The 24,346-nt window shown below is 41.0% G+C and overlaps 1 protein-coding gene and 1 non-coding gene across 27 annotated transcripts in view, besides 3 other annotated features; both read left to right on the top strand.

The window, feature by feature from the left end:
* The window catches only part of NHSL1 (NHS like 1), a 271,170-nt gene that overhangs the window by 243,411 nt on the left and 3,413 nt on the right, over positions 1-24,346 (top strand). For 19 of the 26 annotated variants that reach the window (XM_047419109.1, XM_011535976.2, XM_047419119.1 and 16 more), the window contains 4 exons: positions 2,609-2,801; positions 7,688-7,819; positions 16,122-19,409; positions 19,959-20,091. In XM_047419109.1, the coding sequence (XP_047275065.1) occupies positions 2,609-2,801; positions 7,688-7,819; positions 16,122-19,409; positions 19,959-20,091 (3,746 nt within the window). The remainder of the gene's footprint in view (positions 1-2,608; positions 2,802-7,687; positions 7,820-16,121; positions 19,410-19,958; positions 20,092-24,346) is intronic. The other 7 variants (XM_047419113.1, XM_047419110.1, XM_047419115.1 and 4 more) reach the window with 1 other exon arrangement.
* Positions 8,540-8,727: a silencer, noted in NCBI's record as "fragment chr6:138762212-138762399 (GRCh37/hg19 assembly coordinates)". NCBI's record gives its function as "represses an EF-1alpha promoter that drives an FKBP-Casp9 reporter gene in an ReSE screen in K562 erythroleukemia cells {active_cell/tissue: K562}" and the evidence as "EXISTENCE:reporter gene assay evidence [ECO:0000049][PMID:32094911]".
* Positions 14,508-14,589, top strand: MIR3145 (microRNA 3145). The gene has a single exon (NR_036099.1). It is a non-coding gene; the product is annotated as a microRNA 3145 (primary transcript).
* Positions 18,617-19,116: an enhancer, noted in NCBI's record as "H3K4me1 hESC enhancer chr6:138751823-138752322 (GRCh37/hg19 assembly coordinates)". NCBI's record gives its function as "activates a minimal SCP1, AML or CMV promoter by ChIP-STARR-seq in naive H9 embryonic stem cells {active_cell/tissue: H9 hESC(naive)}" and the evidence as "EXISTENCE:reporter gene assay evidence [ECO:0000049][PMID:30033119]".
* Positions 19,117-19,618: an enhancer, noted in NCBI's record as "H3K4me1 hESC enhancer chr6:138751321-138751822 (GRCh37/hg19 assembly coordinates)". NCBI's record gives its function as "activates a minimal SCP1, AML or CMV promoter by ChIP-STARR-seq in naive H9 embryonic stem cells {active_cell/tissue: H9 hESC(naive)}" and the evidence as "EXISTENCE:reporter gene assay evidence [ECO:0000049][PMID:30033119]".

Raw genomic sequence — 24,346 nt, 5'->3', positions numbered from 1 at the left:
CTTTATTATTGTTAGTCTCCTTGTAAAAGAAAAAAAAGTGAGTACATGTCAATTCATGACTTTGCTTTTCTAAAGTCATATTTATATCAGCACCACCTCCATATCCACAAATTTTTTTTTTTTTTTGAGACAGAGTCTCGATCTGTTGCCAGGCTGGAGTGCAGTGGCGCAACCTCAGCTCACCGCAGCCTCAGCCTCCCGAGTTCAAGCGATTCTCCTGCCTTAACCTCCCGAGTAGCTGAGACTATGGGTGCACACCACCACGCCCAGCTAATTTTATTTTTATTTTAGTAGAGACGGGATTTCACCATTTTGGCCAGGATGGTCTCGATGTCCTGACTTTGTGATCTGCCCGCCTCAGCCTCCCAAAATGCTGGGATTACAGGCATGAGCCACCACGCCTGGCCCATATCCATGATATTTAACAGTCATAGACACTTTAACATTTATCATCTTATTGGGTCCTAAGAACACCTCTGTGGATGCACAAAGGTAGGCTGTATAGCCCCATTTTACAGCAAAGGAAACATCAAAGTTTAGGAACAGACTCAGGTCTTTGGATTCTTAGTCTAGGGCCCTATCGCCAACAGCAAACTATTTTCATTAGCTCTTGCCTAATCTTTTTCAGATTTATAGAGCCCTAGTAGTTGTAGAATAAATACAGATTTTTGCAGCAAGATGAATGCAGTAGCAGTAAACAGTGATGACAGTATTCTTGTGTTTGAATTTTTTTTTTTTTTTTTTTTTTTGAGACAGAATTTTGCTCTTGTTGCCCAGGCTGGGGCGCAATGGTGCGATCTCGGCTCACTGCAACCTCTGCCTCCTGGGTTCAAGCGATTCTCCTGCCTCAGCCTCCCCAATAGCTGGGATTACAGGCATGCGCCAGCACGCCCAGCTAATTTTGTATTTTTAGGAGAGACAGGTTTTCTCTGTGTTGCTCAGGCTGGTCTCAAGCTCCCGTCCTCAGGTGATCCGCCCACCTCGGCCTCCCAGGGTGCTGGGATTACAGGCGTGAGCCATCGTGCCTGGCCTAAAATTTCTAATCAATGCATTTCTTTATATTTCTCATCTGTGTCCTCTTAGAGACTTGCCTTAAATCCAGAAAGGTTAAAACATGCCTTGTAAAGTTAGATAAATCCTCACAAACATAACGTTAAGTGAAATAAATAGGTCACAAAAGAGAACAGACAGTGCGATTCCCTTTACAGAAAGTTCAAATATAGGCAAAACAAAGCTGTGGTATTAGAAGTTGACATAGCACTTACCCTCGTTTGGGGGTATGTGGTTGGGGTAGCGGGTGTATTGAACTGGGTGCTGGTTGTACAGGTATTCCCTTTGGGAAGGTTCACTGACTTTTTATTCTCCAGTGAAATTCTTTCTAAAAGCTTTATTTTCATAATTGGTAGTTCCGTTTAAATGCTTCGGACTTAAAGAGCAGTTATTACACATTTATTTTATATTATAAGCTGTCATTTCCCCCACGAAAGTCGATTACCCTTTTTCGTTGTGTTCCTAAGCACCCTGCACTCATTTGGCCTTCTTGGAGCATCTTAGTCACAGAACCAGCTGCTGTGGAGCCAGGCTGAAGTCCATCAAAAAATGCTCGCCAACACAACTTTCTTGCTTACACTTTTTAAGGTGTTATGGGAAAGAAAGGTATTGAAGAAGGGCTCTTCAGTGAGGATGTTAATCTGTATCAAAACAGACACTGCTAGAAATGTTTTCGTAGAATTCTGATATGGCTCAGAGCAGAGCTTTAGTCAGTGCCGTATAAGTTAACAATTTCACACTGATTTTTTCCCATATAAATGGCTTTGGAAGAGCACAAATAGTTGAACAACAATAGCTCTATCATTTTTGAAATGTCCTTTGAAGTCAGAGCCTAAAGGAAATAAGATTGAGGCTAGAAATTACTTTGAGCAAAACTAAATTTTAATAAAAATGGAAACTGATGGCCACAGCCATGATGTTTTTCTCTAGGCTTCTAATGTTAAACTAAACCCACGAACTTTCTTTTTAAAATTTTTTTTTTAGACAGTCTCACTCTTTTGCCTAGGCTGGAGTGCAGTGGCACAATCTTGGCTCACTGCAACCTCTGCCTCCCGGGTTCAAGCAATCCTCCTGCCTCAGCCTCCCAAGTAGCTGAGATTACAGGTGCCCACCACCACGCCTGACTAAATTTTTTATTTTTAGTAGAGATGGGGTTTCACCATGTTGGCCAGCTGGTCTTGAACTCCTGACCTCAAGTGATCCACCCACCTCAGCCTCCTAAAGTGCTGGGATTACAGGCATGAGCCACCACGCCGGCCATTCCATGAGCTTTCTGACCACAGTAGATAGAGGGAAAGCAGAAAGGACTTCAAAGATTTTGTGGGTCAGCAGAACCTTTTGCAGTCCTCACAGTTTACAGACTAAGGCTGGTGTGAATCATGCATATTATAGGTCAGACTCAAGAGGCTGAGCAAACCATTGCTTCTGTTCCTAAAAGCGATCAATTATTTTGGCTTCTTTTAAACCAGTCCAATTTTTTTAAAAATAAGAAATATATTTTAAAATGTTTCTGCCAGCTCTTTATACACTGTGGCTGCTGCTTCTTTTTTCTCTGCAGTGTTCTCTGTCTTCATCAGAAGAAGAAAGATTTATTTCCATCAGGAGACCTAAAACACCAGCCTCAAGTGACTTCTCCGACCTTAATACTCAGACGAACTGGACCAAGTCGCTTCCACTGCCAACACCAGAAGAGAAGATGCGACAGCAAGCCCAAACAGTCCAGGCTGACGTGGTGCCTATTAACATAACTGGTACGCTTTGCTAGCCAGACAGGTTCAGAATGTACTTGGGAGAATGACTACAGCTTTTTGTTTTATGCTGTTAGCATTTCATTGCTACATCAAAGGTGAATAGCTGTGGTCCAACTTCATGCTCTTTGTTTAATGAGAGGAATATTAAAACTACATATGTGTGTGCATATAAAATGTCTACTGCTTGTTGGGTTCGAAGACTATGTCGCCAAACACTGGTGTCAAAGAACTCAGTGGTCCAACCATTCATCTTAAGAGTGTCTCTTTTAATTAAATTGCTTTTTAGTAAGCCTTTGGTTATATGGAAACATCTTGTAAATGTGGTCCTAGGTATGAAGAAAAAGTATATATTTCCCTTCTAAAGGGTTAAGTAATATTTACAGAAGTAAATAATTATTTTGTGATGTTTCTAATGATAGATTTTCTAGAAATTTCCTAAAGTAGAAAAAAGGAGACATTACTTATTTCTTCTGAATATAAAATTTTCAGAATATGTTATATTAAGCTAGACTACAAATATTAATTGCCAAACCTGAAATTCAAGTTCTTATGGAATATTATACTCAGCCTGTAATCATTTGTGACAATTAAGGTGACAAGGTACATAAAATTCAAAGATGATCTTTCATGAACTTAGGAGAGCTGCTAAAAAGATAGCAAAATTGGCTGGGCGTGGTGGCTCACACCTGTAATCCCAGCACTTTGGGAGGCTGAGGCGGGCAGATCACCTGAGGTCAGGAGTTTGAGACCAGCCTGGCCAACGTGGTGAAACCCTGTCTGTACTAAAAATACAAAATTAGCAGGGCGTGGTGGCACGTGCGTGTAATCCCAGCTACTCTGGAGTCTGAGGCAGGAGAATTGCTTCAACCCGGGAGGCAGAGGTTGCAGTGAGCCGAGAGATCGCACCATTGCACTCCAGCCTGGGCAAAAAGGAGCAAAACTTCACCTCAAAAAAAAAAAAAAAAAATCAAAATTTTCCTGCCTTATCACCTCCATAGCCCACAAGGAGCATGGGTTAGTGGTTTGGGGAGGGCACAAAGTGCAAAATAGACATGTGAAGAGTTAATAGCTTCAACTATTAATTGAATTGTATGTTTGATGGAAGCAGATGACTAATAGTGGTCATTGATAATCAAGTCATACAAAGCAGGGCCCTTAAGGCCAGAAGCTAACAAAAAAACTAGGTGACCAAAAAGAATGAGTTTTCCTGAACATTTACTCTGGAAACCCATAGCATCCTTGCTGTGCTTCTGAGGCTACTGCTGTTAGAAAGCTTTAGAAAGCTTTTTGCCATGGCACTGGTGAGCTTGTAAGGGGCTAATAGCATTTTCATAGTCACCGAAGATTTTTTTTAAAACCTTACCAGATATTTAGAAATTACATTTAGAACTCATATTTTAAATTCCATAGAAATTTAATAAATAAGTGCATGAATTATTTTCAATTCAGTATATATTTTTCCACATTTATTTTACTTAAATCTTAAAAGAATAGCAGGGCATTTTAAGCCATTTTCTCAGCAAACAGTGTTATTGATCTTTCTGAATATGTTTCTTATTTACCGAGATCATATTTTTTAAAGATTATTTTTAAAAGTATAACTATGTTTTAGAACAAAGTATAATGTGTACTGGTCAATGAAATACAAGGCTGCTTATTTTCTATAAGAAAATGAATTACATTATTTGATTGATTAAATGCAGCAGAAATGTAATTACATTATATATAATTAAGTGCCTATGAAATAATATTATAAGATAAGAAGATTGTGCAATGAAATATGACAATCCTTAATGGAATTAAGGTGAAATGCATTATCTTGAGATTAAGAGATTTAAAATAGAGTAATTAGAGTTTCAGGAATGAAGAATTATTTGCAATGAATTACACTGTCACAACAGAAGACAGTGTCATGTCTCTGAGCTTTAATTCTATCCTATCTGATGACTAAGTAGAGATGAATTAGACTTTAAAGAGAGGCCTTTAAAATGCTACTCAGGAAAGGTGAATGACAATAAAGAAAGAGCAGTATGAGTTATGTCAAAATGTAATTTACTTTTAATCGAGTGATTAACATTTTGCAGAAATGCCAAAAGTAAATATAATACCTAATCACGTATTTATTGATCCATTTTCTACATCTGTGTGTTCACATATACACACATATTTCTTAAAGAATTAGTTTTTCTAATCTGTCATAAAGAAGCAATAAATTTAAAATTTTCACTTTTAGTGGTTGAATTGACATAGGTTATACAGCTTCCTGCTCTTTAAATTATGTATTTCTAAAGTCCTAGAAGATATTTGAGATTAAAAAAAGAAAATTCCTCTAGGGAACTGTCATGTGCTCGTTCGCTGGGGTGAGCATTGAGCCTCTAGTTTGATTTTCCTAGTAAGGCTCAGCAGGAAAAAAAAAAAAAAAATGGCGATTTCAAATCCAGAGTGCAGCCCACCATGCATAGAGGTAGAATGTTAGCACCATGAGCTGCTGGCTTGAAAATTGATTTAATCCCTTTAGTTATAGTCTTGTGGGCACTCGGCATGTTCTAAAACTGGAGGAAAAAATACTTAATATGTACATATAAATATCTTCTATCATCTGCTATGTGGGACAACAACTCTTCCATCTGGAAGATAAGTGTAGAGGATAAACATACTTAAATAATTTTTACAAACTGGCTTTGTGCTGGTGTTTGAGCTATCCAAGTTTATTTCTTTTTTTTTTTTTAATTTAAAAGAGTTTAATTGAGCAATGAACAATTCATGAATTGGGCAGCCTCCAGAGCCAGAGTATGCCCACAGACTTTCAAGTTTATTTCTAAATAGTAACCATGACTGATGAATGCCATTTTTCAATTAAAGGCAGTGAGTAATTCAACAGATATTTATTGAATAACTGCTTTGTGCCAGGCATTAGCTGAGTGCCATAGGGGATGCTAAAGTACATGCATCACAGTCTGTACCCTCAAAAAATGTATAATCCAGTAGAAGAGACTTTTAGGTCATGATGCAAGATCAAGCATTTGGTGCCTTCAATGACGTGTGTCTTAGGTGTTCATCCTCAAATGGTTTGTTTCTTAATTTTCTGGGAGCTTGGGTGATTTTATCTTTTGTCTAGGAAGCAAAACTGGAGACTAAATGCAACTTTATTTTATTTTATTTTATTTTTTGATATGGAGGTCTCACTCTGTCGCCCATGCTGGCATGCAGTGGCGCAATCTCGGCTCACTGCAACCTCCGCCTCCCAGGCTCAAGCGATCCTTCCACCTCAGCCTCCTGAGTAGGTGGGACTACAGGCACATGCCACCACACCCAGATACCTTTTTTTGTATTTTTGGTAGAGACAGGATTTCACCATGTTGCTTAGACTGGTCTTGAACGCCTGAGTTCAAGTGATCCACCCACCTCAACTCTCCAATGTGCTGGGATTATAGGTATGAGCCACCACACTGGCCTAAGTGTAACTTTCTATTAATGTTTTGTCTGTTCTTAATGTCTTGATACAAGGAAGTTTTTTCTTCTGCTGCAGGGAACTAATGAAGCACTGCAGTTGTGACTTGCCCCTCACATGTGCCATTTATGCCATTGCACTTAGCGACCCAGTTTTTCACAGCATTGGCACCTTCTGGTATTCAAGGGTCTTCTCTCAGTCATTTCTGTTTTTCTCCATTAGCGACAAGGTTGTAAGCATTTGTAAGTTTGCAAGCATTTATTTAAGTTTGTTCCTCAGTAGGGGAAATGTGTTTTGATCATTCAGATGTTTTATTCTCTGTTTTGATTAGATAAGGTTCCCAATTTTTTCTTACCAAAATAGAAGTTACATTGTCCACAATATACCTACATTGAATATGTGTCAATAATGCTAAAAGTGAATGTTTTATACTTTTATGCATAAAATGATAGAAGTTTTTAATGTGTGTGTGTGTATATATATATATGTGTGTGTGTATATATGTATATATATGTGTATATATATATGTATATTTGAAAATAACTTTTTGAGGAGAATAACCATTCAAAAAGGTCAGTGCTGTAAGACTTTAAACTGGCAGGTAATTTAAAACAGATCAATCAATAACAGATGTTGTTATATACTTTATTATTTTATGGTTTCTCATGATGTGTTAATCAAACACACCTACACTCTAGAAGGAAAAAAAGAAGTCCTATGATGTGGCATTCCAGGTTTGATTGCAAAATCACTTGAAATGTCTGAATTAAGATCAACTTTAAAAAGTAATTGTGAAATAGAAGCAATTCATCTTTAACAACAGCAGCGCTACTGGGTCTCATTGTGGTAAAAGTACTTTATCATTATAAGGCGTTTCATTTTTCACTATAGTTGTATGTCACACCACAACAATTACCACAGTCTATCCAAATTGTCAGCCTCCTTGATTGAAGAAAAAGCTTTTCATTCAAGAAATCTTTATTAAGTTACTTATTTCATCACACAAGGCAAGACATTAATTTCGATCTCTGCAAGATGACCAGATGAATGAAACATACTCATTACCATCACCACCTACACGCTAATGTAGAGTGGTTTTGGTGACCAGAGGATATATTTGAAACACTTCCAAAATTTTGTTTTGTTAAATAACACAGAGTGACTCTTCCAGTGTGTTATTAAACTTGCATTTGCTACTCCAGCTCATTTGAAAATGAGATCAAGGTGCTTCCTTTGGAAGGTGGAACTTGGAAAACAGCCTTACTGTGATAATGTGCTTTTCTTCCTTTTTTGCCCTTCAGCATTCATCATCATATGACTGGCTAACATTATTAATACCTTCTTATCATTTTACAACAAGCTTCTGGAAGAAAGTGCATGGTGTCAGCTTGCTTGAAAATAACATTGCTTTGCTTGTTCTACTACTCTACATTAGGGGAGAATTTCGATCGCCAGGCCAGCCTTCGGCGGTCTCTAATTTACACAGACACTCTGGTAAGACGACCGAAGAAAGTCAAAAGGAGAAAGACTATTACAGGAGTCCCTGACAACATACAGAAGGAGCTAGGTATGGCTCATCAGAACTGTATTCTGTTGCCCTTCACTGCTGCTCGGCCTTACTGCGCTAACCTCATTCATGGTGCTTATAAAATCGATACATTCTGATAGCCGTTTGGTGCCCCAACGGGCCAGCTTCCTTCCTGAATGAGGCATTAGGTGCAAATCTTAACATCCCATGGAGAGAGAGAGTTGATTGAATTTTGGGGAGAAGGTACAAGGAGAAGGAAGAGCTTACATGAAAACGATTAACTGGGATGATAGAATTCATAGTTAACCTCATCATTGTTATGTGACATGGAACATTGGCTATTCCCACAATTAAATTTACTTGTCATTTAGATCTTAAGTTTTCATGAAACAGAAGTCATTCTAGGACGTCAGATTATGAATATGGACTTTCACTATAACTATAATGACACTACTGGTGGCATTTTGTCATCAGAAACAACAGTCTGGGATTATTGGTAAATGTCAATAAGATAGAAAATAGTCATTTATGTTGGATGGTGCCTTTATTACTTTCAGTGAAACAATTTCATAGCTTCTTTATCCTTAATTCTTTTTGTTCAATCTGTGTTTGGCTGGTGAAGAGGGTTGTTTAATTACTTACCCATTTTGTTTCTGGTTATCATTATAAATGCTTTGGATAATCCCTTCATTTTCCTCTTTCTAGATTAACTTCCTCTCACTGTTTTCTAATAGGGCCCATAATACCAGAAGGTCTGCAGAGGCACCATAGCATAGCTCCTGGGTTAGGACTAAGGACTCCAGTGCCAGCCCGCTTGGTTGAACCCTAACTCTGCCACTTGCTCTCTGGGTGACCTCAGTTAACTTCGTCTCTCTGAGTCTACTTCCTCATTTAACAAACGGGCTTGGTGATGTTAATAGAACCTACCTCTTAGGGTTGTTTGAGGACAATTTGTGCATGTGAGGCCCTTGGTACTTGGTTAGTACCTGGTACTACCATAAACGTAATAGCTACTGTGGTCATTATTATAGGAAACTTAATACTACCTGTCTTGAAATGTGTCCTTTCCTCTTTGGCCAACCTATGGACTTATTTCCTAATAGTTACTTTCACCTGATGTTTTTATTTACTCTCAAAAGTTACACTCTAGAAACTCAGAGTCATTATTTCTAAAGTTTGCAGTTAGTCTTTTAGTCAAAATGAGTGTAACCAGCAATAGTGATATATCTGTGATAGCACCTTGAGGTTGTATGTCACCTTCTGGGTGCTACAGACATTGTGCTTCTCTGTTTGTTTTCCCAAACATCCCTGATTGAATGCCTTGTATTAGAGAGCACAGACTCACTTTTCTTTAGCTGGCATTTTCTCCTTTACTGCCATCCACTTTTGTAGTATATATGCTCTGCCTTCCATGCTGTAGCAATAGTCAGGTGAGAATAGCAATGCTCTGCCTTTGCCGCAGGCAGCCACAGTGACCCAGATGGTATACAGGTGTTTGCCCTGTTCTATCATGGATTGGTTTATTACAAACAAAGGCAAGACTGCAGCAGCTCCCGTGGGATTGTGAAGTCTGTCTTTGGTTCGTGCCCCACATGCTGCTGCTATTAGTGGCCTGGTTCCTCTGTGGCTACCTGAGGTCTCCAGGCACCTTCCCTCAACCTACCTTAAGGAAACATGTGTGCTTTCTCTCTCTCCTCTCAGTTTATGCCTTATTCTTTCAGACTCTTTTTTCCATTCTTGAAGTGACAGCTAACTAATTCGGAAACTAATCTGTACTCATATGTTCAGTAGATAGTTAATGGAGTAATTTCCTAAAGCATTCCAGCAACATTTATACTTTAACTGGTCTTTTTAGGAGATGTGACTTCAAGGAGTGACTTTAAAGACAGGCATTTAGGCCCTTTGTAAGATCAGAAGGATAGTGTGGCCCAAGTAAAGATGCACATACACATAAGTATTCCATATGCATTGTCTGTATGCATATGTAATATGATGTCTAGAATGAGAGTTACAAATTTTTATCACTTTTATTACTGAACCAACCAGTATGGAAGCCAATAACTCAGTTGTTTCTTTGATCTTACTAGAATGTTCTGGCCAGCTAGATAAATCATATCTTTTGTAATTTTAGTATTTTTTAAATCAGTGATTAAAATCTCTGGAATCCACGTTCATTTCTTTTACATGTGACATGGAACGTCACTAATGCTGGAGGGAAGAAAATAGCTTTCCCCGCATCATCTGGGTTGTGACTGTTGCCAGACACGAGACAGTCAATATCATTACGGTCGATGACATGACCTGGATTAGAACTGGAGGTCAACTGAGACAACCGTATCTAAGAGCTAGTTTTTTTAAAACAAAAAAGATAATTAGACAAGGACTGTGGTTTTATAGATAGGCTAGTTGGAGGATTACTGGATAGAATGAGGAGTTAACATTTGTATACAGTTTTATTTAGCAAAAATATTGGATTACATATTTATTTGTTCTGTCCTTTCAGGACTTCTGGTTGATCTTGCCTTTTTTCCCAGTATTTTACACTTATAAGGACTCTGGTTTGGAAGTCTTAAACTACCAAGGTAGTATATCTAGGTAATGATTATCAAATCATACCTAGGTAATGATGATCAAAAATAGACACTTTATATTTTCTTTAAAATTAGTCTTCTTCTAGATATAAGACACACAAGGGAAGTATAACAAACAAATTAGACAAAAAAGAAAATGATGTCCCAAAGGAAAGGCATTCACTGGGAAAGATGCACCCTGTCCAAAAGATGTTGCCCAAGTTGCCAGCGGCTTTGGATTTTTAAAAAAATCTAACCAGAGAGGTACTTCCATGAATTAGAAAGGATTTATATTATCCTTAATTATATGCAGTTTTTATTTCAAAATCCACAAATAATAGACTCTGGAGACTAGCCAATATATAACACTTTAAAATCAAGGTATGATATTTAATGCTTATTTCCAAAACTTATCTGATAAACTAAAATTTGTTGCCTTTCGTTTCAGTGAATTGGACATTTTGAATTTTTTCTTTTATCTTAAATCTGTACAGAAATGTATCTGAACATCATCTTATGAGGTTTCATCTTTTAGAATCAGATAGGATTATTTTGTTGATATATATATATAACACTTGGCTACTGAACTTATCCCCATACATATTCTCTAAGCAGAAAAGGCCTCATCTAAAGGAATCCCTTTATTAATAATTTTTGGTAGTTTATACTAAGAAACTATCTACTTGACAAGACTTTTTAAAAACTCATAGCCTAATCCTTAAATAAACTAACTTGTAAATATTCAGCATCCTTAATTACATATATTTTTTAGAAATTCAAAATATTATTAATAAAAGAAAAAGTATAAATAATTATTTCTGTACATTATGTCTTAAAATCAGATAAATCCCATCAAGTTTGAGCAGCACCTAAGTGGTCTACACTTGTTTGTAGTTGTCTTTTTGTAGTTTGTTCCATCCTTTAATCTGTAAAGACATACCTCAGGGTTATTGCAGCTATAGTTCCAGACCACTACAATAAAGTGAATATTGCAATACAGCAAGTCACACGAATTTTTTGGTTTCCAGTGCCTATAAAAGTTATGTTTACACTGTGCTGTGGTCTACTAAGTTTGCAATAGCATTATGTTAAAAAAAAATGTACAGTGTAAAAATACCTGATTGCTAAAAAATACAAAGGATCATCTGAGCCTACAGACAGTTGTCATCTTTTTGCTGGTGAAGGGTCTTACCTCAAATTTGATGGCTGCTGACTGATCAGGGTGGTGGTTGCTGAAGGTAGGAATGACTGTGGCAGTTTCCTAAAATAAGACAACAGTGACATTTGCCACACTGACAGATCCTTCCTTTCTTGAAAGATTTCTCTGTAGCACGTAATACTGTTTATTAACATTTTACCGACAGTAGAACTACTTTAAAAATTTGAGTCAATCTCTCAAACCCTGCTGCTGCTTTATCAACTAAGTTCATATAATATTCTGAATCCTTTGTTGTCATTTTAACAATGTTCACAGCATCTTCACTAGTAGAGTCCATCTCAAGAAAGCATTTTCATTGCTCATCTGTAAGAAGCAATGCCTCGTTGTTCAAGTTTGATCATGAAATTGCAGCAATTCAGCCACATCTTCAGGCTCCACTTCTAACTCTAGTTCCTTGCTGTTTCTACCACATCTGGAGTCACTTCCTTCACTTCAGTCTTGATCCTCTCAAAAGTTATCTACGAGAGCTGGAATCAGTTTCTTCCAGACTCTTACTAATGTTGATATTTTGACCTTCTCCCATGAATTAAAATTGTTCTTACTGTGCTAGAGTAGTGAATCCTTTTCAGGTTTCCAACTTACTTTGCTCAGATCTATCAGAGGAATCACTATCTGTGGCAGCTTTGGCCTTACAAAATGCATTACAAAATTAAGACTTGAAAGTCAAAATTACTCTTTAAGCCATGGGCTGCAGAATGAATGTTGTGTTAACAGGCATGAAAACTTTGTACATCTTCATCAGAGCTCTGGGGTGACTAGGTGCATTGTATTTTTTTTTTTTTTTTTTGTGTGTGTGTGTGTGTGTGTGTGTGTGTGTGTATATGTGTGTATATATATATATATGTGTATATATATATGTGTATATATATATATGTGTATATATATATGTGTATATATATATATGTGTGTGTGTATATATATATATATATATATATACATTTGTGTATTTTTTTTTTTTGAGACAGAGTTTCACTCTTGTTGCCCAGGCTGGAGTGCAATGGCGCGATCTCAGCTCACTGCAACCTCCGCCTCCTGGGTTCAAGCTATTCTCCTGCCTCAGCCTCCTGAATAGCTGGGATTATAGGCATGTGCCACCACGCCTGGCTAATTTTTTTGTATTTTTAGTAGAGACAGGGTTTCTTTATGTTGTTCAGGCTGGTCTCGAACTCCTGACCTCAGGTGATCTGCCTGCCTTGGCCTCCCAAAGTGTTGGGATTACAGGTGTGAGCCACTGCCCCCTGGCCTAGGTGCACTGTAAATGAAAGAAATCTTTTTTTTTCTGAGCAGTAGATCTCAACTGTGGACTTAAAAGTATTCAGTAAATCATGCTGTAAGCTGACATGCTGTCATCCAGGCTTTGTTGTTCCATTTACAGAGCACAGGCAGACTCTATTTAGCATAATTCTTAAGGACTCCAGGATTTTCAGAATGGTAAAAGAGCATTGGCTTCAACTTAAAGTCACCAGCTACTTTGGCTGTAACAAGAGTCAATTTGTCCTTTGAAGCTTTGAAGACAGGCATTGACTCCTCCTCTTGTAGCTTTGAAAGTCCTAGATGACATCTTCCACTAGAAGGTCGTTTCATCTACATTGAAAACCTGTTGTCGAGTATAGCCACCTTCATCAATTAACCTAGCTAGATTCTCTAGATAAATTTCTGCAGCTTTTCCGTCAGCATTTGCTGCTTCACTTTTATGTTATATAAATGGCTCCTTTCCTTCAACCTCATGAAACAACCTCTGCTAGCTTCCAGCTCTTCTTCTATAGCTTCCTCACCTCTCTCAGCTTTCACAGAATTGAAGAGAGTTAGGGCCTTGATTAGGCTTTGGCTTAAGGGGAATGTTGTGGCTGGTTTGATTTTCTGTCCAGACCATTAAAACTTTCTCCATATCAGCAATAAAGCTGTTTTTTTATTTGTGTATGTTCTGGAGTAGCACTTTTCATTTCCTTCAAGAACTTTTCCTTTGCAGTCACAGCTCGGTTAACTGTTTGGCACAAGAGGCCTAGCTTTTGGCCTATCTTAGCTTTTGACATGCCTTCCTCACTAAGCTTAATCATTTCTAACTTTTGATTTAAAGTGAGAGACATGCAACTCTTCCTTTCGCTTGAACCCTTAGAGGCTATTGTAGGGTTATTAATTGACCTAATTTCATTATTGTTGTATCTCAGGGAATAGAGAAGCCCAAGAAGAGGGAGAGAAACTGGGAAACAGCTGGTCAGTGGAGCAGTCAGAACACACACAACATATATCAATTATATTTGCTATCTTATGTGGGTGTGATTTGTGGCACCCCCAAAACAATTACAATAGTAATATCAAAGATCACTGGTCACAGATCACCGTAACAGATCTAATAATAATGAAAAAGTTTGAAATATTGCAAGAATTACCAAAACGTGACACACAGACACACAGTAAGCATGTTAGAAAAATGGCATCAATAGACTTGCTCAACACAGGGTTGCCACAAACCTTCGACTTGTAAAAAAAAAAACAAAAACAAAAAAACAAAAAAAAAAACCCCAGTTATCTGCAATGCACAATAAAGCTAAGCACAGTAAAACGACGTATGCATCTATAGCATTCATCTGTTTCCTATCATATTCTGAAACTTTTTATACTGTGAAAATATTGGAGGGTCTGTTTTGGGAATAGAATTTTGGTGGTCCTTGTGATAAGATATATGAGTTTTTTCATATGCTTTTTAAGGTCTTTAGGAAATGTTTTTGTTTTAATAAGAAAGTTATACTTAGCTCTAGAGGGTGATAAAATAGCTGTATTTCTATTTTTTTTTACATGCCTAGAATGGTTTCACATTTAAAACTGCTACCCAAAAGTATCAGGATTTTGTTTATGCTACTTAAAGACAGTTAAAAATCTACCACTAACTCCATGCAAAAACTAGTACAATTTTGAAAGGAAAAAAAATGTATTTGTTTATATGAGTTCAACTCCAAACACTCAAAACTCATTGTTGAATGGAATGAGATATTTTGAGTGTTTGGAATTGAACTCGTATACACTGATACACCGATACCAGTCAACTTCCCATCTTCTAAATTACTAAATGGCAAAATTTTGCACTTCCTCAAAGTGGGTTTTTCTTCTGTCCTGCCCTTTTGCCCATTTCCCTCTCTGTGTGGGACAGCCTCGTGTGTGTGTATGTGTCTGTCTATCTGTCTTCAGTGAGTGAGTACTTGAAAGAGGGTAGAGAGAGGAAATAGATCATCTTCGCTAAAAATACAAGTATAAAAATTCCTCTCCATCATCACAGTGAAGGAGAAGGCTTTATGCTGGGATCCTTCCTTCCAGGGTGCCATCTCCTTTGAGGTTGATACAAGCACAGTGCTGCCATTTCAGTACTACCCTCTGCTATCTGAGTGAGCAAAAGGCATCCTATATCCAGTCCATGCCCTGGTTAGATTATGTGTTGGGAGAGGGAAGCCTTAGAAACCCCATCAGTCCTAGGGTCGCATCCAGGTGTCCACTGACACAGAGGGGTGTGCTTGACTCGCATTGCTCAGCAAAGCCCGTGTTGAGATAGATACTTTTGGGTCCTTGTTGGATGGAGATAACATAGGGAGAACTATAGTTTTACTACTATTTTTAGAGATTCGATTTGTCTTAAGGATTGACTTTTTTTTTTCTCAGTACACTTTGGGTAGGTTCTTGTCTTTGTGATTTTTTTTCTTTTTTCTCATAAGCTCTGTTCTTTCCTGGGTAGCTTGAAATCTAACTGTTTACACTTAAAGTTTACCTCGTCCACGTCCCTCTCTGTTGGCCCTTCCTTGTGTTTCTTTCTTTCTGTCTTTTTTTTTTTTTAACATACTATTCTCTGTTTGGTTGTAAAACTCCAACGAATAAATCATCCTAATTTGAGGAAATGTTCACTGGATCAGTTCCTGCCAGTTTCCCCAACTAGAACACAACAGATTGCTGTTGAATTTTGAATGTCACCAACAGACAGATAATGGCTTCAGATGGATAATGAAATGTTTGGAACACAGATGGGCCTGTAAATCAATTTTCTTTGCCTTAGAATTTCCTTCTGACATAAAGAATTAATGTAATTAACACTGTTTTATACCAGTACCCCTCAAATATGGTATCTCTGTGGCCCTATTGTTCAATTACTACATTCATCTACCTTTGGGAAAGATGTGTCACTGCTTGATAGATGGTCTGCACAGTCACCCAGTGGGCGAAAGGCTACCTTGAAGACTTTACTGAAAGGTGATTATTTCAAAGTAAATCCTCCTCTGAGCCCTTGGCAGCCTTGATCTTGAAGGGATACCCTGAGAATTCCATACGCAGCACTCAAGCCATAGGAGGATTGGAGGTACAAATTAAGAGAAGTACCTGACATTCATGACAATAATTTTCATTTTAGAGCTATCAGTAACTTTTTAAATGTACTTAGATACCTACAGGAGAAAGGAAATTAAATCAAATAGAAAAATTTTTTTAAAATTCTGTCAGAGGGGTGAGGGTACACGTGATGAACTATGGATTTTATTTTCAGGTAACAAGCCTCTTTCTGCTTTATCTCCAGCATCAGGCACTGGCCAAGATGATGCTGATGGCCACTCAGTGTACACCCCTGATCACTACTCTACACTAGGAAGGTTCAATAGCTGTCGGTCTGCTGGGCAGCGCTCAGAAACCAGGGACTCCAGCTGTCAGACGGAGGATGTGAAGGTCGTACCACCTTCCATGAGGAGAATCAGGGCACAGAAGGGGCAAGGCATTGCTGCCCAGATGGGCCACTTCTCAGGTTCCTCTGGCAACATGTCTGTGCTGAGCGATTCTGCAGGGATCGTATTCCCTTCCCGCCTTGACAGTGATGCTGGCTTCCATAGTCTTCCGCGTTCTGGAGCAAGGGCAAACATTCAGTCCCTTGAGCCGAGGCTGGGTGCCCTCGGCCCTGCAGGAGACATGAATGGCACTTTCCTCTACCAGAGAGGTCACCCACAAGCAGATGAAAACTTAGGCCATTTAGGAGGTGCCTCAGGGACTGGAACACTTTTGAGACCCAAATCCCAGGAGTTGAGACACTTCGAGAGTGAAAATATAATGAGCCCAGCGTGTGTGGTTTCTCCTCATGCAACCTACTCCACCAGCATCATCCCAAATGCCACACTGTCTTCCTCTTCCGAGGTCATCGCTATTCCCACTGCTCAGAGTGCGGGACAGCGGGAAAGTAAAAGTTCTGGCTCATCACATGCAAGGATAAAATCCAGAGACCACCTCATCTCCAGGCATGCTGTGAAAGGTGATCCTCAGTCTCCCGGTCGCCACTGGAATGAGGGCCATGCCACCATTCTTTCACAGGACTTAGACCCTCATTCCCCTGGTGAACCCGCACTGTTGTCCCTCTGTGACTCAGCCGTCCCTCTAAATGCTCCAGCAAATAGGGAGAATGGGTCCCAAGCTATGCCGTATAATTGTAGAAACAACCTGGCCTTCCCAGCCCACCCCCAAGATGTGGATGGCAAGAGTGAATCTAGTTATTCAGGGGGCGGAGGGCACAGCAGCTCGGAGCCCTGGGAATACAAATCCTCAGGTAATGGAAGGGCATCCCCCCTGAAGCCGCATTTAGCAACTCCTGGCTATTCCACTCCCACAAGTAACATGAGCAGCTGCAGTTTGGACCAAACGTCCAACAAAGAGGATGCTGGGTCGCTGTATTCTGAGGACCACGATGGCTACTGTGCATCTGTGCACACTGACTCTGGACATGGATCTGGGAATCTGTGCAATAGCAGTGATGGCTTTGGGAACCCCAGGCACAGCGTGATCAATGTTTTTGTTGGAAGAGCTCAGAAAAACCAAGGGGACCGGTCCAATTACCAGGATAAATCCCTATCAAGAAACATCTCTTTGAAGAAAGCAAAGAAGCCTCCCCTGCCACCCTCCCGGACAGACTCCCTCCGCAGGATTCCCAAGAAGAGCAGCCAGTGCAACGGGCAGGTGCTCAACGAGAGCCTGATCGCCACACTCCAGCACTCGCTGCAGCTGAGCCTCCCAGGCAAGAGTGGCAGCTCGCCCTCCCAGAGCCCCTGCAGTGACTTGGAAGAGCCCTGGCTGCCCCGCTCCCGGAGCCAGAGCACAGTTAGTGCTGGCAGCAGCATGACTTCCGCCACCACCCCCAATGTCTACTCCCTGTGCGGGGCCACGCCATCGCAGAGTGACACAAGCAGCGTCAAGTCAGAGTACACGGACCCCTGGGGTTATTACATTGACTACACGGGCATGCAGGAAGATCCGGGGAACCCGGCAGGGGGCTGTTCAACCAGCAGTGGGGTGCCCACTGGGAACGGGCCAGTCCGCCATGTCCAAGAAGGGTCCAGAGCCACAATGCCCCAAGTGCCCGGTGGTTCAGTCAAACCAAAGATCATGTCACCAGAGAAGTCACACAGAGTCATTTCTCCATCCAGTGGGTATTCCAGCCAGTCGAATACACCCACAGCACTCACCCCTGTGCCTGTGTTTTTAAAATCAGTGTCACCAGCAAACGGGAAGGGGAAGCCCAAGCCCAAGGTACCAGAAAGGAAGTCCTCTCTGATATCTTCAGTATCCATTTCCTCATCGTCCACTTCTCTTTCTTCTAGTACTTCTACTGAAGGAAGTGGCACTATGAAGAAGCTGGATCCAGCCGTGGGCTCTCCCCCGGCTCCTCCTCCTCCTCCTGTTCCCTCTCCTCCATTCCCTTGTCCTGCAGACAGGTCTCCTTTCCTTCCTCCCCCACCTCCTGTCACAGATTGCTCCCAGGGCTCTCCTCTGCCTCACTCTCCTGTGTTCCCCCCTCCGCCGCCAGAAGCTCTCATTCCTTTCTGCTCCCCACCTGATTGGTGCCTTTCTCCTCCCCGCCCTGCACTGAGCCCCATTCTTCCAGATTCACCTGTGTCCTTGCCATTGCCCCCACCTCTCTTACCTTCCTCGGAACCCCCACCTGCCCCACCTCTTGACCCCAAATTCATGAAAGACACCAGGCCGCCTTTCACAAATTCTGGCCAGCCAGAATCCTCCCGGGGATCCTTGAGGCCGCCTTCTACCAAGGAGGAGACCAGCAGGCCCCCCATGCCCCTGATAACCACGGAAGCATTGCAGATGGTGCAGTTGAGGCCCGTGAGAAAGAACTCAGGCGCTGAGGCGGCACAGTTGTCTGAACGAACAGCTCAGGAACAACGAACTCCAGTTGCTCCACAGTACCACTTAAAGCCATCTGCTTTCCTGAAATCCCGAAATAGCACAAATGAAATGGAGAGTGAAAGCCAGCCTGCCTCTGTGACAAGCTCGCTTCCGACGCCTGCCAAGAGCTCGAGTCAGGGTGACCATGGCAGTGCGGCTGAGCGTGGTGGCCCTGTGAGCCGCAGCCCTGGAGCTCCAAGCGCTGGGGAGGCAGAGGCTCGGCCCAGCCCCAGCACCACCCCACTCCCAGACTCTTCACCCAGCAGGAAGCCACCCCCCATTTCCAAGAAGCCCAAACTGTTCCTGGTGGTACCACCTCCGCAGAAAGATTTTGCAGTGGAGCCCGCAGAGAACGTGAGCGAAGCCCTCCGAGCTGTGCCCAGCCCCACGACGGGAGAGGAGGGCTCTGTGCACAGCAGGGAGGCAAAAGAGAGTTCTGCAGCCCAAGCTGGCTCTCATGCCACGCACCCTGGCACCTCGGTTCTTGAGGGAGGAGCTGCAGGATCCATGTCTCCCAGCAGAGTGGAAGCCAATGTCCCCATGGTTCAGCCTGATGTCTCACCAGCCCCCAAGCAGGAGGAGCCAGCCGAGAACAGTGCGGATACTGGGGGCGATGGGGAGAGCTGCCTATCTCAACAGGACGGAGCAGGTGAGTCTGGCTTCCTGGCTTCTCTCTCCTGTGCCCTCTGCCCATATGCAGCTGAACCAGATAGGGTTGTTGAATGCTCACACGTGGAAAGAACCCAGGTAGATCAGATTCCTGTTAAAGCTAGCAGTATGTAGGCTTCCTGTGTTAAAACACAGATTAAGTTACCAACTTTGCATTTTGTTATTATTTTTAAAATCTAGACCTAAAGGCATGGCAGAAAATAGGGGGATGGAGATGATCTGCAGCAGGCTGGGTATTAAATAGCAATGGGTAACACCTCCCTTCCGAAGAGCCGCGCAAAGAAACGTTGCAACAAAATTTAAGAGAGATGCCATGGGCGTTCCATACTTTAACAAAGAATGAGCTCTGGCTCTCAGGCTAGTGTCATTTCCTCCCTTCTTTGTAAACTATCAAACTACAGACCCACGGCATCTCCCTGTGGTTCTCACATTGTCGGGAATGGCAGGGAAGCAGCATATTTAGAAGCTTGGCTGAGGACTGAAATTCCAGTCACTTGTGCGTCTTGTATGCCTGCCTGCTCTTCTGTAGCTGGGGTGCCGGAGACCAACGCAGCCGGTTCATCCTCAGAGGCCTGTGACTTCCTCAAGGAAGACGGGAATGATGAGGTAATGACCCCCAGTCGACCCAGGACCACAGAAGACCTTTTTGCAGCTATTCACAGGTATTTCAAACTCCTTCCTCTGACTTTAATCTACTGTGTAATTCCTTCTTTCCAAGCAGCACCTCAATTTACTTTTCTTCCTTGAGGTTTCTTCTGTCACCCAATCATAACTCCTTAACTTTACTGTTGATTTTTTAGTGGGTTTCTACAGTTTTATTTCCTCTGGCTCCAATTTCTGTTTTACTTTGTCTCACTGATTTTTATGACATTGGGGACAGTGGCTCAATGTGATACGTTCTGGTAGGCGCTGCTCTTCCTGGCAAGGAGCGCAGTGTGGCAGTCATAAGACAGAGTATATTAGCAAGAGTCGGATTAAAGTGACTGACAGTGCAGTCAGGAGGAGGAATGCTATGTTCTGTGGACTTAGGATGCACAGACTAGCTCCATGGGACTCTCTTCCTAAAGATGTTTTAGTTTATTCTAATTTTTTTCATTTTACAGAAAAACCACAGTTATACAGAGCAATTTCTTTGGCTGCTTAAGTGTTTCTATAAAAGAGTACGGCCCTTTAAGCGGGAGCAAAAGAATGACTTATGCTTGTTAATATACCACTAGTGCCATCTACTGGCATCAGAAATCGTTGGGTTTAAAAACAAACAAAAAGGGTAAAATTTTCAAAGTAATGGCCTGAACTGTTACACTTTTTATATGTGGTCACCTTTAAGAGTAAATATGATTTAGCACTGAAGTTTTACTTACTGCATCACTTTTCTGATTGGAAACAGCTGACTACTCCCACACAGTGTCATCGTAAAAGCTGATGACTGTATATGTGCAACTACGTTAAGCCGTAATGCTGTATAAACCTTTTGCTTCCTTCTAGACTTCTCTACCACGGTATTTCCAGGTAACTCTAATGAATGTCCTTATGCTGCCAAGGCCTTATTTTGCCCTGAATGAAGATCCTTTCTTTTTTTTTAACCTCCTGAAACAAAGCATCCTGTAGAATCATTTGATTCTGTGTGTGAATGATCTTATGTCAGCACTGCTTTCCCAATTCTTGGACTCTCCCTGAAAAGACTATTGCATAAGATGAAAAACATAGTGCTGTACCTACCTGAAACTCTTCATGCAACACATTAACATCTAACTTGGTGTGGGGGGAACGAAGCCGGTGAATTAATGTTCTTGTCAAGAATTACGCTCTTTACGTCGCTCCTCTAGTGTTGGTATAATAGATCCTAAAGACTGCCCCTTTTAACATGGACTGGTTTCTTCAGTCTCATTAGAAGTGAAAAGGTAGCTGGTTGTCCAATTATTTCTCAAAACAGAGAAATGATAAATGATGCATCCTTTGAAACTTCAGTGGCAATTCTAGAAGTTCCCATAGATGTTTCTAACTCTTAACCACGCTAGACACATAAGAAGCACTCAATAAATATTTCCTGAATTAAATGAAACCAACTGGTATTTAACCATTAGAAGATTCTTCCAAGACTCAGAGTATTTCATTTAGTATGGAATGCACTGGGTTGCTAAATATACAGGCATATCTGTCTATTTATAATAGCCATCCACAGAGAAGATTTGCGTAGCCTGGTTGTTCTGTGTACTCGATACTTGGTTCCAGTGAGGAAACCCAACTGTTGTGGGTCCAAATTACTGCATATTTTTTCCCAAAAATATGCCAAAGGCCTCTTCTATATTTTGGCAACCTTCTTAAGGCATCGAAAAATGTGTTGTTTCTCTTACTAGGACGTTACATCGACTGCAGATGTAGAAATCGGTCAGTTGGTGTTACTCAGTGCACGTATGAGAGAAGTCAAAGCCAAATAGGCCTTAGGAATGGATTGCAGAGAGAGAGTGAGGACATATGCTAATTTCTGTTGTAGCGTTGAGAATAAATTAGCAGACATAGTAAAAATCCATCTACTGTCTGTGCTTTTTTAGGGCTTTATTTTTATGTCCTTCAGCGCTTAAGCTCATAATTTAAAATAAAGAATATCTAAGTTGAAACACAGCTTCCAAATTTTATAATGCAAATTAATTCGCTTCAGATTTAAAGCCAGATGGAAAATGTAGAACACCAGTTGAGGTGTGAAGTTTTTATATTTATTGAAGTAATTAGTTTTAAAATCAGTGTTAACTGTTTAAGCACTTTTTATAGCTCTCTTCATTAAAAATACATATTCGTGTGTGTGTGTTGTGTATGTATATGCAAAGAATTTGTACATTTAGATTTAATTATTTTAGTGGGCACCTGCTCTTGAGAGATGACAGTGCTTTCATAAAATCCCATCTTTCTTCCTTTTTTTTTTTTTCTTTTTGATACAGAGTCTCACTCACTCTGTCACCCAGGCTGGAGTGCAGTGGCGCGATCTTGGATCACTGCAACCTCTGCCTCCCAGATTCGAATGATTCTCCTGCCTCAGCATCCCAAGTAGCTGGGATTATAGGCGTGTGCCACCATGCCCGGCTAATTTTCGTATTTGTAGTACAGACATGGTTTCACCATGTTGCTCAGGCTGGTCACCCCATCTTCTTTCTTAATTCTATGTCTACAATTAAAGGTCATAGTTTTACTCAAGTTTAGTTGTGACTTGTTTAATGGATCTCAGCATACTCTCACCGTTTAAAATCTAAATTACAAATTAAGTCACCAGCCAATACCTAAAAGAATGAAATGAGCAGAGCTGCTTTGGGGAGTAGACCATGTAAGTGGTGAGGCCATGTGCTATAAGCTCAAGTCCTAGTTGTCATACTAACAAGTTACCTTTTCTCAGTTACCTTTTCTGAAACCCAAAGTGGTTGGACTAGACCATTTCTAACGTCTTTTCTAGCTCTACAGTTTCGAGATGTTAGGATGTCTGTAGTTTTGTCAGCCGGTCCTAACTCTTATCAGGGCAGACTGCTCTTGTTAACTACTGAGTGGGACCATGAAACCTGTATGGTAGGCCATGTTCTGCAGTCCCAAAGAGTCTGGTGCCCTGTCCACTCTGGCCACCCTTCAGACCCTGTATTGGGTCCTTACCATTTCCCAGCCTCTGCTTTAGTGGCATCTTTTTGACCAGAAGAATGGAGATGACGCCAGGAACACCAAGCCCAGGGCAGCCAGCATGGGCCCATGCTGCCCTCTGTCTTGCTGTGTAAGCCACGTAAAAACTAAATCCATTTTCTATGTGACATTCAAAGGTTTGTTAAGCACCTGCTCTATGCCTGACCAATTATGGCTATCACTGCATTCATGAGTACTGACAAACTGTGACCTATATACTGTTATTCCCCTTTTGGTGATAGGAAAAATACACAGTCAGAAATGTTAACTTGTCCAAGGTGACAGAACAAGGAAGCTTTAGCAGTGGGAGTTATGTAGCTAGCTTCTTTATTTCACTTAATCTTCACAAACCTGTGAGGTTGGTATCTTATAAGTGAGGAGGCATGGCATGCATGGGTAATTTGTCCCAGGTCACACAGCGAGAGGTGGGAAGAGTCTGGTTTCAACTCTTAATCTGTGTGTACAGATATCATACTCTCAACCTTTCCCTGCTGCATATTCTACAATTTTATAGCAGGAAAAGAGATATACCCACGTCTTTATTCTATTAACTGTGTTGAGTTTCCTTAAAGCAAGTTCTCCTGCACTTAGCTAAGAGACACAGACTGAGTTGTTGTCATGAAGAGACCAGCAAGGGGCCACTTGGCTCACTGGCTTTATCATCTCTTTGTCACTGGCAATGGAAAGCACATTGAACAGTGAGGTTCTCAGAGACTCAGGACAAGAAATACCTACAGGAAACCTTCAGCTTTCTTTGATTGCCCCTTCGTCTTCCCCACCCCACCCCACCCCTCACATTTTCTTGATCAGTGCAAGGTTTGCTGAGTCGATCATGAAGCAGGGTCTGGCATGGAGGGTTCGCCTTTGTTTTCTGGAAGGCTGGATTTTAGAAGTTGGCACATGGTCCTGGAAGAGCTGAGGAAGACTGGTCTGACGGCAACTTCTAGAATAACTGAGAATGTGAAGCTGAGGAGTTGTTCTAGGACCTGGAGTGGGGTACATCTTAGTACAGGGGATATTCTGGCATGGAACAAGAAAAGGAAGCATAGAAAGAAAGGAGGGTCAGCATGTGAAATTCACTCCGGATCAGCCCGTCTAGGAGAGATCAAGGAAAACTGGCCATTATTAAAACTTTTGGTCCTGTCCAAAGTAAGTTAATAGTGTCTAAGATTTGTTTCAAATAGGGAGGGTGGAGACAAAAGAAGGGTGACCGTAATTAATGATTATCATAGGTGAGTTATGGGCTCATGCGGTCTTGCA

The sequence above is a fragment of the Homo sapiens genome, chromosome 6, assembly GCF_000001405.40.
Source record: "Homo sapiens chromosome 6, GRCh38.p14 Primary Assembly".
NCBI classification, from domain to species: domain Eukaryota; kingdom Metazoa; phylum Chordata; class Mammalia; order Primates; family Hominidae; genus Homo; species Homo sapiens.
The sequence above is the reverse complement of the archived record's forward strand: the minus strand, read 5'-3'. Positions and strand labels throughout refer to the sequence as shown.